A 14051-nucleotide genomic window follows, 5' to 3' on the forward strand; every position below is an offset into this window, starting at 1 on the left:
AAAATTTTTGAAAAGGTAATACTTGAACAGGGTTACAAATGAAACAGGACAAAAAGATAAATGTCAAGAAGTCCTTCTCTCACCCCTGTGCCCACCCTCCCCAGCCCACCCCCGGGTAAGCACTTATTCTCTTTTGTATCTTTTCAGTTTCTTTATGTGAATACAAGCAGATAAACTCATTTTAAGTTTTGCCCTTTCTTACATAAAAGATGGTATACGATCCTCTCTGTTTTGTAACTTGCTTTATTCACATGACAGTGTATCTTGGAGCTCTTTGGACATCAGTGCATAGAGACAGCTTTCACATTTGTTACCTTGAAGCTGCATCATATTTCATCATGTGGCCACAGTGACTGATGCTCTCTGGGTGGACACCTGGACCCTTTGCAGCCTCTTGCCGATACACATGATGCTGCGATGAATGGCCTTGTAGAAAAGTCATTGCATCCATGGGCAGAGCTGCATGCAGGCATGTTCCCAGGAGTGGGATTCCTGGGCATATTGGCACCTAATGCTGGTCGCCTGGCCTCGCTGCACCAGCAGGTCCTTGGTGGCCTTTGGCCTGAGCTGGTTTTGTCATGGGGCCTGGCATGGGAGCAGTTCTTCATAGTGCCTATAGCTGCTTTTGAAGTGACTTTGCCTCTTGCAGCATGAAGTGGGGCAGAGTGAGGCCCGGATGTGTTTGCACTGTCTGGTGCTGGGTTTCTCTCCACTTCTTAGGGAATCTGAGAGCAGGGGGGGGATGAAGCAGGTGGCAGAAGAGAGGTGGAGCACAGGAAGGTTTGCACTGGGCCTGGCAGCCGTTCAGAAGCCTGTTAGTGCCTCTAGATCAGAGACTGGGCTTGTCTGGGGTGCTCTGGGGCTGTGTGTCAGAGATCACAACTTCAGCTCCTCTTTGGGTATCCAGAAAGTTACAAAATAAAACCAACACCGTTCTAAAATACTCAGAAAGAGCAAGGATATGAGCAGGTCCTTCCCAGTAAAAGAGGTAGAAATGACAAGAAACTTTCTGAAAAAGATGGCTGACTTCACTCTCATTCTTATGGATATTGCTAATGAAATAGGATGATACCATTTTGCAGATGGGCGGAAAGAGACTGATCCCATTCATAGCTGACAGTTATGGAGAAAATGGGCCACTCACGTTGTGGTAGGGCTAGGAATTACCGTAACTTTTAGGGAAACAATTCTGCTTCTGGGAATTTATCCAGTAGAAATGTAATCACCAGTTATAAACATATGATACAGCAGTATTTATTGAGCGTTATTTATAAAAGGGAAAAACTGGTGGCACCTGAATATTCCTCAAGAAAGGAATGGGGGAATCAATTATGGTGTGTCCAGAGTGTGCAGTTATCACAGAGGAATGAAGTCTTCATGTACAGACTTGGGTGACCCTCAAAGGCACATTACAGAGAAATATGTATTGCATGATCTTATTTTTACTAAAAATCACCCCCTCAAGATCCAGGCATACGTGTTTTATGTAAGAAGAATGTACGGAGGGAAATATTTCATATCATACACAGCATATAGATGTCATCTGAATTGTTATAGCAAGCATTCGATACTTTTATAAATCAAATAACTGAAATGGAAAAAAAACTGGGAAGAGGAGGGTGAATTGTGAAGTCAAAAAATCATGAGAGAGATGACAAATTCAGGAAGGTTTGGGGCTGCGGTTTTGAGTCTGCTAAGCAGACTGATCTCCTGGCACCCACAGCATCCTCCGTGAGAGACCCTAAACCACAGAGTGCAGATCTCAGCTTCATCGTATGGGACAAGCTGCTTCACTTCAACCCCATGTTCAGGCTTTTTACAAACACAGCTGGAATCTGGGTGTAGTGACAATGAGAAGGAGGCCATGGAGGCCTGGGAGCCAACATGGCCACCCTGGGGGAAGCCAGGCTTTCTTGGTGAGAGGTTTGTGACCTTGCTGCACTGGGGTCCAGGCTCACTGGCTTCACCTGCTGACCTTGCTCTGTGACAAGGGTGTGACCTCTCTGAGTCCCAGTTTCTCATCAGTGAAAGGGGGATGTTGCTGGGCCCTGCTACAGAGACTGGAGGGGATTATGTGAGCAGTGTGTAAAGAACTCAGTGGGCTGGGCACGGTGGCTCACGCCTGTAATCCCAGCACTTTGGGAGGCCAAGGCGGGTGGATCATGAGGTCAGGAGATCGAGGCCATCCTGGCTAACATGGTGAAATCCCATCTCTACTAATAATACAAAAAATTAGCCGGGCGAGGTGGTGGGTGCCTGTAGTCCCAGCTACTTGGGAGGCTAAGGCAGGAGAATGGCGTGAACCCCGGAGGCGGAGTTTGCAGTGAGCCGAGATTGCACCACTGCACTCCAGCCTGGGTGACAGAGCGAGACTCCATCTCAAAACAAAAAAAAAAAAGAAGTTTCTTTTCTCTCACAGAACAGACCACAGGTAGGTAGGACTGGTAGGGTAGCTCTGCCATTCTCAACATGTGGCTTTCATCCTGAGTCCAAGGTGGTTGCTTCAGCTCCTGCCATCACATCCACATTCCAGCCAATGGTAGGAGGAGAAAGAGCAAGGGTAGCACACAGCACAGAAGTGGCACACATCGTTTTTGCTAGTTTGACTAGAACTGAGCCACATGATCATGGTGGAAGCTGGAAAACGTCATCTGCAGCAGGCTAGCTGTGTGTTCAGCTAAAATCCATGCATCCCATTGTTAAAGCAAGGAGGAGAGAAAGGATTCCAGTAGACACGGAGCAGGCTTTGACGCCCAGACCGCCAGAAACCTGGGCGTTTCCTGGGGTTTGCCAGGTCTAGTGAACTCTTCATTTATACCAGGCCCTGTGAACTCACAGGGGTAGGCAGAACAGACCATCCCTCTTTCATGGCGCCCTTGTCTAATGGGGAGAAAGGCTGAAATAATTCAGTGCAAGAAAGGAAGAGTAAGGGGTGGGAAGAGAGCGTGTTAACGAGTCTCTTACATGATTTTATTTTCCAAGATTAGGTTATAGACACTAAAATCATAAAATGTTGATTTGAAAATGTTTTTACAGGCACAGGATAGAATTCAAACAGTAAAGTATAAAGTGCTCCCCTGGGAGCCTAATTTGGACAGGAAGTCTGGCGAAGGCCTTTCTGGGGCCAGGGCTTGAAGCTGAGACCTTCTGAGTGCATGTCAGCCAGGTGGGGCCCTCCAGGCAGGAGCAGTCTCAGTGCTCAGCCCCGCAACGGGCTCCTCATGCCTGCTCTTTTTCTCTCCTCTCAACTCACACAGGGAACCTGTCAGTCGTGTGGGGTCACCGGACCAAACCTATGGGCCTGTCTGCAGGTAAAAGACCCTTGTGGCCATCAGGGGTGTAGAGCTGCTTCCACCTGTTATCAGCACTGCACAGGCTGGTGCAGTGGGCTAGACTCTGGGCTGGGAACTTCCATCCCTAGTGGGCACTGCCAGAAACCTTGGGCTGGGGCACAGGGGCACAGGACTCCAAAGTCAGCGAATCCTGGGCTGGCCATTCTGGCAGCAATTAAAAATGACAGGAGAAAAAAATAGGTCGGAGAAGGCTCTAGACTGAAGGCTCCCTTCTTCATAGGACAGTATTCTAGCTTGGCATGAATATGTGTGAGTCAACGTGGGTGTCTTGGCTTTGAGGCCTGGCACTGCTGCTCAGCAGCGTCTCTACCTGGGCCAGTCTCATTTTTTCCCTGAACCTTCATTACCCATCTATAAGAAAGGGGCTGCAACACTGACAGCTGACAACCGTCCCCGCCTCATGGGGTTAGGGTAGAACTGGACAAGACGGATGCCTGTGACTGGCCAGGAGACAGTGTCCGGGAGAAGCTGGAAGGGTTTGGGTGATTACTGGTTACTAAAAAGAGTAAAAGTAGATGTATGAAAACATGACAGTTTCCTCTGAGTGGTAGAATTATGGGTAATTTTCTTTTTTTCTCTGTAGTATTTAAAAAATGTTTCCAAGTATGTATTTTTATAGTCATACTAAAAATGACTGTTACTTAAAATTTCTTTAAAAAAAAAAACCCACGAGTAAAAACAACAAAGACAGCAGCAGCGAGTGAAGACAGCCAGTCAGTCTTTGCAGAAGTGCAGGGGCCTCCAGTGGGATTCTGGCCTCTTCTGCTCAGCCCTGTCACTCAGCACAAAGTAGATGGCAAGACACTGCGTATCCAGGGGGCAGCAAGAAGGGCTAGATGTTATCTCCTGGGCTGTTACAAGTGCAGGACGTGGTCCTACCTCATAGGAGCCACAGTCCCCTCAGACAGATGTAGGAGCCTGATGCAGAAAATGGCACGTGCTTTCTGAGTCAGCCACATGATATGATTCCATTGTTTTCCCAGAAGGCCCTGCTGATCACAGGTGGCAGTGACAGCAGGCGCTCCTGTAGGAGTATGGCATTGGCTACTGGCTGGCGTGGAGGCTCACAGTGGAAGCACTGAGCGGGCCTTGGAGGATGGGTAGATTTGGGATAGGAGAGTGCGAGGGCAAAGGCAGTGTCATCAGGGGCATGTGGGCCCTGCTCTGGGGCACTGGGTCAGTACTGGGTTCCCACTACCTGTGACCCTTGTTTCAAACACCTGGTCCCCATTCATCATCCCCCATTAGAAAATGGCTGTGAGGCCTAGGATCCCCACCAAAAACACAGGTCCCAATAACTGACCCCACTTCACATGGGGTTTTTGTGGAGGGAGAGGGTCTTGGTCCCGAGCAGCCAGGCCCCAGCTGGGACCCCGCCTGGGCTTCTTGCTGGAGAGCAGCAGCCCAGGGCATACTGCTCGTCTCACTCAGAGGGCAGGGACGCTGTTTACTGTCCATCACTGCCCAGCAGAACTTCAGGTGTACAGACCTACAGACCCGTGTTCCTTTGAGATGGCAGAGCCTCAGTCCCTTGTGGCCCCTATTCAGGAGAGGTAGGGGCACTGACTTTGGGATGGAACCAGAGACACTGTGTTGACACCATCCTTTTGGCAAGCTCCAGTCCACTCTCCTTCCCTCTCTTCCCAGGTTGCCTGCCCCTATGTTGGCTGCGGAGAATCCTTTGCTGACCACAGCACCATTCATGCACAGGTGAGTGTGGTGGCTGAGAGTATGGGCCCTGCAGTTAGATGGCCTGGGGTTCAAACCCCAGCTCCACCTTCCCACTCTGGGCCTAAATGGCTGGGGCAATAAATGGTGTCATCCTAGCATAGCTTCTGCAAAGAAGCAAGAGAGAATGCAGGTAAAAACATTTTGCATCTGCACCATTTGATAAGCAGCAGCCCTCAGGGTCCTGACTGGGGGTGGGTAAGCAAAATTTGAGCTTCCGGCCTCTGTCCTGACAGGGCCTCTTACTGAGAGGCTGGGGAGCGGAGCAGCCATTACAGGTTGGGGCACTTGTTAGGCTAGAGTGCCCTGGACCTTGTTTTGGATATCACCCTCTAGGCAAAAAAGCACAACTTGACCGTGAACCTGACCACGTTCCGACTGTGGTGTTACGCCTGTGAGAAGGAGGTATTCCTGGAGCAGCGGCTGGCAGCCCCTCTGCTGGGCTCCTCTTCCAAGTTCTCTGAACAGGTAACCTGTGTGGTGGGCTCTGTTTGGTTGTTGGTGACACTGTGTTGAGGATGAGGCAGTGTGACCTGAGCATCCGTGGAGCATGGGGCAGTAGGTCCCAGAGGTGTCTGTTTCTGGGTCAGTATGTTTTCAGGTGACTTTGAGGAGCTCACATCAGCACATGCTCACTGAGCCCAACTCTGTGCCGAGGCATGTGTGAGACCATGAGGGTGCAGAGGTGACTGAGAGTAGGGCCTCCCTTGAGGAGCTCGGAGACCATGGGGTGGCCGTGTGGAGTGCAGGGGTTGGGGTGGGCCCAGGGCCATGAGGTGAGTGTAGACCCTTCCAGGCCTTATGGAGAGGGTTGACAAGGTCACAGATGGCCCTCTGGCCATCCCAGATCTGAAACCATTCCTAAGGGAATTCCAGGTAGTTGCTACAGCACACTTCTCTATGGGAAATGCCCAGAAACCACCTGGGTAACGTCAACCAGAGAATGGTCCTTTGATCAACAGTGTGCTGTGCAACCTTAGAGATGGCAGGTCAGCAAGCCTGTGACCTGGAGGGCCCGGCCCCAGGTGTGTCCTCAGGGAATGGTCAGTAATCCTGGATGGCAGAGCTGCCTGCTAGAGGAGAAGCCAGGACATGTGTGCAGCATCTGCATGGCTCTCTCCTCCATTTATTTTATTTTATTTTATTTTATTTTAATTTTTTGAGACCGAGTCTCGCTCTGTTGCTCAGGCTGGAATGCAGTGGTGCAATCTCATCTCACTACAACCTCTGCCTCCTGGGTTCAACTGATTGTCCTGCCTCAACCTCCTGAGTAGCTGGGATTACAGGCGCCCACGACCATGCCTGGCTAATTTTCATATTTTTAGTAGAGTCAGGGTTTTGCCATGTTGACTAGGCTGGTCTTGAACTCCTGACCTCAAGTGATCCGCCTGCCTTGGCCTCCCAAAGTGCTGGGATTACAGGCAGGAGCCACCGCACCTGGCCTCTCCTTCTGTTTAGACAGTCACATGATAGGGCTCAATATTGCTCAAAATGCTTATTGAATGCATTTGTGAACTTGGTAGATATTTATGAATTTTTATAGAAAAGGCTATAAAACAGTATATGCAATATCTTGTTTTTGTTGTGCATGTGTATTAACAGTTAAAAGTCTGTATAATACAGGCTGGGCGCCATGGCTAATGCCTGTAATCCCAGCCCTTTGCTGGGCCAAGGCAGGAGGATCGCTTGAGCCCAGGAGTTTGAGACCAGCCTGGGCAACAGCGTGAGACCCTGTCTCTACAAAAAATAAAATTAGCTAGGCATGGTGGCGCATGCTTGTAATCCCAGCTACTTGGGAGGCTGAGGTGGGAGGATCACTTGAGCCCGGGAGTTCAAGGTTGCAGTGAGCTATAGTTGTGCTACTGCACTCCAGCCTGGGCGACGAGCAAGACTCTATCTCTTAAAAAAAGTCCACATAGCCCAGGCGCGGTGGCTCATTCCTGTAATCCCAGCACTTTGGGAGGCCGAGGCGGGCAGATCACGAGGTCAGGAGATCGAGACCATCCTGGCTAACACGGTGAAACCCCGTCTCTACTAAAAATACAAAAAATTAGTCAGGCATAGTAGCGGGCACCTGTAGTCCCAGCTAGTCAGGAGGCTGAGGCAGGAGAATGGCATGAACCTGGGAGGCGGAGCTTGCAGTGAGCCAAGATTGCACCATTGCACTCCAGCCTGGGCAACAGAGCGAGACTCTGTCTCAAAAAGAAAAAAAAAAACGTCTACATAAGATACATACAGACTATTAACAGCAGTTCTCTCAGGAAAATGGGGTTGCATGTTTATGTTTCTATTTTTCTCCAAATTTATTATAAATAAAATATTTTTTTTATTGCCAATAAAAAAATGCAAGTCAACATCTGGACACAGTGGCTCATGTTATCCTAACACTTTGGGAGGATCACTGGAGCCCAGTAGTTTGAGACCAGCCTGGGCAATATAAAAAGGTTAGCTGGGTGCTGTGCATGCACCTGTAGTCTCAGCTACTGAGAAGGGCGAGGTGGGAGGATCCCTTGAGCCCAGAAGTTGGAGTCAGCAGTGAGCTCTGATTGTGCCACTGCACTCCAGCCTGGGTGACAAAGCAAGACCCTGTCTCTAAAAAAACACAGACACACACAAATCAAGGAGTTCCCAGGGCAAGGCCACCAATCCTATCTCTTTTCACAGTACCTTCTGCTCAGCTGGACTGGCTCAGCCCAGTAGGGCCTTCCGGGCAGTAGGGCTGGACTTCCAGCCCTTGGGAGACACCTGGGCCTCTGACCCCAGCCCCTCTGTTCACTGTTTTCCTCACTTTGGGTCTTTAACACAGGACTCCCCGCCACCCTCCCACCCTCTGAAAGCTGTTCCTATTGCTGTGGCTGATGAAGGAGAGTCTGAGTCAGAGGACGATGACCTGAAACCTCGAGGTAATGGCCCCCACAGCAGGGGAAGCTGATGGGCTGGGCTGGGGGCCCTCATCTGGAGGCTGGAAACCGCCAGAGTCTTGGTCTCTATTTGCACCTGCTATATGGGCAAGGAAGGATGGGGTGACGGATAAGCTGTTTAGCATGGTGGCTTCACCCCAGAAGTTGGCTGGCCTAGCTAAGGTTCTGGAGAGCTGGCTATCTTGTCCCCTCTCCCAGCTGGGTGACCCTGGGCAGGCCGACCCCTCTGCTGTATGGTCTGGACAGTGGGCCTGGCTGGGCGGAGGGGCAAAGGAGTTCATCTGTTTAAAACACTCAGGTAACCGCAGCTGTTGTGAGCAGGAACCACGTTAGTTTACTGGGAAGATTCCTGGGGTGGAACGCTTCCACCATGTCCTCTTCTTGGGTCTTGGGCAGTTGAGAGCCACACCTTTGTGCCAAATGTGACTTGCAAGGTTTCCTCGGTGGGGCAGGGTGCTCACCTGCTCCTCCCCGTTGTGTTTATTTCCCAGGCCTCACGGGCATGAAGAACCTCGGGAACTCCTGCTACATGAACGCTGCCCTGCAGGCCCTGTCCAATTGGTAGGTCGACACTTTGTCCGAGGGCCGAGAGCTGTCCCTGGCAAAGCCCCGGAAACAGCAGCAGTAGCAGCCCCCAGCCGGTTGCCCACAAACACATGTATAGGATGCACAGCAAAATGCCTGAAAGCATGTATACCCTTTGACCCAGCAATCCTCCCAGTCAGAATGTATCCTGAGGAGATAACCGGAGATGCTGGGGAAGTTGTACGTGCAAGGAGGCTCAGTGCTCTGTTGTTTACTGGAAATGATTTAAAGGCCCATCTGCAAGAGAGTATAAATTCTCATAGCCCTTGCAGCAAGTGCAGGAAAAATGGCACAAGACAACATGCATTGAAACAAGAAGGGGTTCAGAATCTGGTGAGTGGGGGAAAAAGGAGGTTATAAAGCATTGCATGGTACAATCCCGTTTTATGGGAGAAATGCGATTTTCCATTAAGGATAAGGCTGTGAGCTCCATGAGGCCAAGGATGTCTCCTGTGTCTGACGTGCTTCTCCTACCCAGTGGAGGTTAGAGATGCAGTATATGTATGCGGGAAGCAGAGAGGGAATGGGTACAAATGCGTAGAAAAGTCTGGAAGGCTATGTCCCAAAATGTTCCTAGTAACTATCCTCAGGTGGCAGGATGCAGGTCAATTATTGTTAATAATTGACCACACCCAGGCTGGGCGCAGTAGCCCACGCCTGTAATCCCAGCACTTTGGTAGGCCGAGGCAGATGGATCACCAGGTCAGGAGATAGAGACCATTCTGGCTAACATGGTGAAACCCTGTCTCTACTAAAAATACAAAAAACTAGCTGGACGTGGTGGCACGCACCTGTAGTCCCAGCTACTGGGGAGGCTGAGGCAGGAGAATCGCTTGAACCCGGGAGGCGGAGGTTGCAGTGAGCTGAGATCATGCCATTGCATTCCAGCCTGGGTGACAGAGCGAGACTCCGTCTCAAAAAAAAAAAGAAAAATTGACCGCACCCAATCCGTTTTAACTTTAATAACCTCTTTAAAGGCCCTGTCTTGGCTGGGCACCGTGGCTTACGCCTGTAATCCCAGCACTTTGGGAGGTCAAGGCAAGTGGATCGCCTGAGGTCAGGAGTTCAAGACCAGCCTGGCCAACTAGTAGAGCCTGTCTCTACTAAAAATACAAAAAAATTAGCCAGGCATTGTGGCATGTGCCTGTAATCCCAGCTACTCGGGAGGCTAAGGCAGGAGAAGCACTTGAACCCGGGAGGCAGAGGTTGCAATGAACCAAGATTGCACCACTGGACTCCAGCCTGGGCAACAGAGGGAGACTCTGTTTCAAAATAATAATAATAATAATAAAAAAATAAGGTAAGATAGATAAGATGAGATAAAATAAAAATGCCCTGTCTCTGGGAGTTAGGGCTTCGCAGATGAATTTTGGAGGATACAATTTTCTCATAACTGGTAGGAGCCTTCTAGTCACCTTCAGGAGTTTCTGGGTCCAGGGCCACTGTGCTCCCTGTGCGAGCACTCAGGGCTCCCCGCTATGCAGCCCTTTCTAAACTGCCGCATGCCTCATTTGCTCTCCTGACCTGGCTCTCTCTCCCCTGCACCCAGCCCGCCGCTGACTCAGTTCTTCTTGGAGTGTGGCGGCCTGGTGCGCACAGATAAGAAGCCAGCCCTGTGCAAGAGCTACCAGAAGCTGGTCTCTGAGGTCTGGCATAAGAAACGGTGAGCAGCTGCATCCCTAGCCTTGGGCGGTGTGTGGGGACTGGGGTTTCCTGTCAGCACCCATGATTGAGTACTTCCTGTGGATTCAGCCCCCAGCGAGGACTTGCCTCACTTTGTCCCGGGTAATGCTTGCAGCAAGCCTGCGGGGTGGAAATTGCATCCAGTCCTGTTTTACAAATAGGGAAACTGAGGTGCAGAGCACTTTAAGTATCTTGCTCAAGGTCATAGAACCTGCAAAAAGTGAGCTAGAATTTGACCTACTGTTGACCCTACCGAGCAGCCACTGGTAGATGTCTTTGCCAAGAGACATGGTGACCCGGCCTCAGCCAGGACTGTGTGTGTAGAAGGAGGTGTGGGGCAGGGGAGCACAGACTGGATGGAGCTTCTGGCACAGTATGAAATTAATTTAAAGATCAGAGTCTGTGATTAGATCTGTTTCTCCAGGAAAAGTCAAAGTTGGGAATAATTTTAAATGAGCACATAGAAATATGTATTATGTGTAGAAGCGGATGAAAAACCAGCGTAGGGCCAGGCGCAGTGGCTCACGCCTGTAATCCCTGCACTTTGAGAGGCTGAGGCAGGTGGATCACGAGGTCAAGAGATCGAGACCGTTCTGGCCAACATGGTGAAACCCCGTGTCTAATAAAAATACAAAAATTAGCTGGGTGTGGTGGCGTGTGCCTGTAGTCCCAGCTACTCGGGAGGCTGAGGCAGGAGAATCACTTGAACCTGGGAGGCGGAGGTGGCAGTGAGCCGAGATCGCACCACTGCACTCCAGCCTGTTGACAAAGCGAGACTCTGTCTCAAAAAAAAAAAAACAAAAACAAAACAAACCAGCATGGGAGAAATATGTATTAAATGTAGAAGCAGATTAAAAACCAGCGTGGGGCCAGATGCAGTCACTGACACCTGTAAATCCAGCACTTTGGGAGGCCGAGGCAGGAGAATCATTTGAGCCTAGGAGTTTGAGACCGGCCTGGACAACACAGCAAGACCCCGCCTCTACAAAAACTACAAAATTAGCTGAGTGTGGTGTGAGCACTTGTGGTCCCAGCTACTCAGGAGGCTGAGGTGGGAGGATCGCTTGAGTCCAGGAAGTTGAGGCAGGCTGCAGTGAGCTTGATCATGCCATTGCACTTCAGCCTGGGCGACAGAGTGAGACCCTGTCTCAAAAAAAAAAAAAAAAAAAAAAAAGTCTGTGTGCAGTGGCTCACTCCTGTAATCCCAGTACTTTGGGAGGCCGAGGCGGGTGGATCGCAAGGTCAGGAGTTCGAGACCAGCCTGGCCAATGTGGTGAAACCCCGTCTCTACTAAAAATACAAAAATTAGCTGGGCATGGTGGCGCGCACCTGTATTCCCAGCACTTTGGGAGGCTGAGACAGGAGAATCACTTGAACTCGGGAGGCGGAGGTTGCAGCAAGCCAAGATCATGCCACTGCACTCTAGCCTGGGAAACAGAGCAAGACTCTGTCCCAAAAAAAAAAAAAAAAAAACCCAGCATGGTACAATATAATTCCGCTTGTGTAAGAAGCCAAGTTTAAATGTGTATCTGTATGTATTTTTGTATATGCATCTGTAGTTTCACAGAACCAGAAATCTAATGGTAAGTATCTGGTGCCATTGGTGGTGGTGTTTTTCTCTTGTACTTTTCTGAAATTTTAGATTTGTCAATAATGAACATGTCTTACTTTTGAAATGAGAAAACCACAGTAAGTGTTTCAGAATGAAAACAAATCATGTTTAGGCGAGTTTGTTGTGCACCAGAAGGAAATGATGCTATTTTATTTGAGCTCTTTGCTTAATTGAGGCAGCTATGACTTGACATTTTCTTCTTGTCTGTAGAGATGTGTGAGCCTCTTGGGGCTCCTGGCTGAGTAGGCCCCTCCCCAAATGTCAGGAAACGCCACACTCTGATCCAGCCTGACGGGCTGGCTGCCTGCTTCTCTCGGGAATGAGCAGCTCAAGGCAGGCTACCTGGACTAATGGGTTTGGGCTTCCTACAGGCCAAGCTACGTGGTCCCCACCAGTCTGTCTCATGGGATCAAGTTGGTCAACCCAATGTTCCGAGGCTATGCCCAGCAGGTAAGCCATCTGAGCTGCCCAGGGGACACCCAAGGCCATGACCCACCAGGCCTGACTTTGACGCCAAAACCAGAGTGGAAAATCGCAATGGCAGCTGAGCACTGGTTGGCAGGTCTCACGGACCAGGCTCTCACTCCTAAGCCCTTCACACGTGTGAGGACAGTGGAGCCTCCCAGCAACCTGCTGACATTTAACCCCACTTCACAGATGGACAGACTGAGGTTCAGGGGCCGAGCCACTTGCACAGGCCACACAGCTAGTAAATGGTGGAGGGGAATTCTTTTTTTTGTGGGGGAGGGTGGGTACAGGGTCTCACTCTGTCACCCAGGCTGGAGTGCAGTGGTGCAGTCATGGCTTACTGCACCCTCGACCTCCCGGGCTCAAGCAGTCGTCCCACCTCAGGCTCCGAAAGTGCTGTGATTATAGGCATGAGCCACTGCACCCGGCGGAGGGGAGATTTGAACCCAGGCAACCTTGCTGCAGGGCCTCCGCGTTGCACCCAAAATGACACAGGGTTTCATTTCCCCAAACCACAGGCAAAATTTCACTTTTATTAAAGTAAAAAGTTTGATTAAAAATTTTTTTTAAATCTAGAGAACCCTTTTGAAACCAATCACATTTTTCTATTTTATAAAATAATGAGACCAAGACAGAGTGCAGCCACGCGTACACCTCAGCCCCGGGCTGATGGCTCCTGCCCTCCAGCCTCCTGCCCCAGATGGCCCACAGCCTGGGCTTTCATGCCAGGCCTGCAGGCAGAGCTGGACCTGGCTGGGTCACCTCTTGTGCTGCCTGAAATGAGCACCATGGACGGAGTGGCAGTCATGTGGGGACAACTTCCGCCCTCTACCCCCTGCCTGCTGTCCCGTCCCAGGATGAAGTCTGCTGGGCCTTTGGCTCCTGCTTGAGAAGCTCAGCACTGCCTGGACACCTCTCTTTTTGGGGAGTGATAACATGCACAATGACTAAAATTCACTGAGCACCATTTAAGTGGTCACAACTTAGTCCTCATAGAAGTCTCACAAAGTGGGCACTGTTGTCACCCACACGTTACAGGTAAAGAGCTGAGGCTCAGAGAGGTTCTACCCCTCACCCAGGTCACACAGCACATCCTGGCAGAGATGGCATTCAGGCCTACCTGAGCCCATCCCTCAGCACAGCACCACCCTGACTGTGTGCAAGGCGCCCTGCCGGCTTTCAGCTCTGGGTCAGGATGCCGTTACGGAGGGCCATGCGCTGCGGCAGGACTCCATCTGGGCTCCGGCAGAAGCATCCCTTTCTGTGGTTTTAGGATATCGTGTGGGGACACTTCTGAGGCTGAACTGTAGACGCAGCTGCGGGCGCCTCTTAAGGGCCAAAAGACTCTTTTGTGCTTCTGCATGGATTGAGATTTTGGCAAGGAACACATAGTACTTTTGTTGAAAGGAAGAACCAGAAAGAGAAGTAGATGGCAGATTGAAAGCCTCTTCTTGAAAGGGCCTTTGATCGTGCCTGCCACAGGACACGTGTCCCCTCCCTGATGCAATGTAACCTCGTGGTTCATTCCTCTGATCTTGGAGCCTGACACTTTGCCTTGGGGAGTCCCTCCTGAGCCCTCCCTTCCCTGCACATGAGTGGAGAGAGCCGGGATCCTCTTCCCAGATGTGTGACATGAGGCTGGCTCTGGCTGCTACGTGACCCCTGCCTCCTGGGGATCAGAGCCTGGGCTGAGGGCTGCTT

The 14051-nt window shown here is 50.6% G+C and overlaps 1 protein-coding gene across 3 annotated transcripts in view, besides 2 other annotated features; it reads left to right on the plus strand.

Annotated features, from left to right (window-relative positions):
* The window catches only part of USP20 (ubiquitin specific peptidase 20), a 46371-nt gene that overhangs the window by 17592 nt on the left and 14728 nt on the right, over window positions 1–14051 (plus strand). For all 3 annotated transcript variants that reach the window (NM_001008563.5, NM_006676.8, NM_001110303.4), the window contains exons 4-10: window positions 3258–3311; window positions 5001–5063; window positions 5418–5549; window positions 7888–7984; window positions 8494–8563; window positions 10137–10250; window positions 12254–12332. In NM_001008563.5, coding sequence (NP_001008563.2) covers window positions 3258–3311; window positions 5001–5063; window positions 5418–5549; window positions 7888–7984; window positions 8494–8563; window positions 10137–10250; window positions 12254–12332 — 609 coding nt within the window. The remainder of the gene's footprint in view (window positions 1–3257; window positions 3312–5000; window positions 5064–5417; window positions 5550–7887; window positions 7985–8493; window positions 8564–10136; window positions 10251–12253; window positions 12333–14051) is intronic.
* Window positions 10167–10336: an enhancer, noted in NCBI's record as "active region_29123". NCBI's record gives its function as "activates an Ori minimal core promoter by ATAC-STARR-seq in GM12878 lymphoblastoid cells {active_cell/tissue: GM12878}" and the evidence as "EXISTENCE:reporter gene assay evidence [ECO:0000049][PMID:35858748]".
* Window positions 11881–12175: a silencer, noted in NCBI's record as "tiled region #12255; HepG2 Repressive non-DNase unmatched - State 23:Low". NCBI's record gives its function as "represses a minimal TATA promoter and a strong SV40 promoter by Sharpr-MPRA in HepG2 cells {active_cell/tissue: HepG2}" and the evidence as "EXISTENCE:reporter gene assay evidence [ECO:0000049][PMID:27701403]".

The sequence above is a fragment of the Homo sapiens genome, chromosome 9, assembly GCF_000001405.40.
Source record: "Homo sapiens chromosome 9, GRCh38.p14 Primary Assembly".
Taxonomy (NCBI): Eukaryota; Metazoa; Chordata; class Mammalia; order Primates; family Hominidae; genus Homo; species Homo sapiens.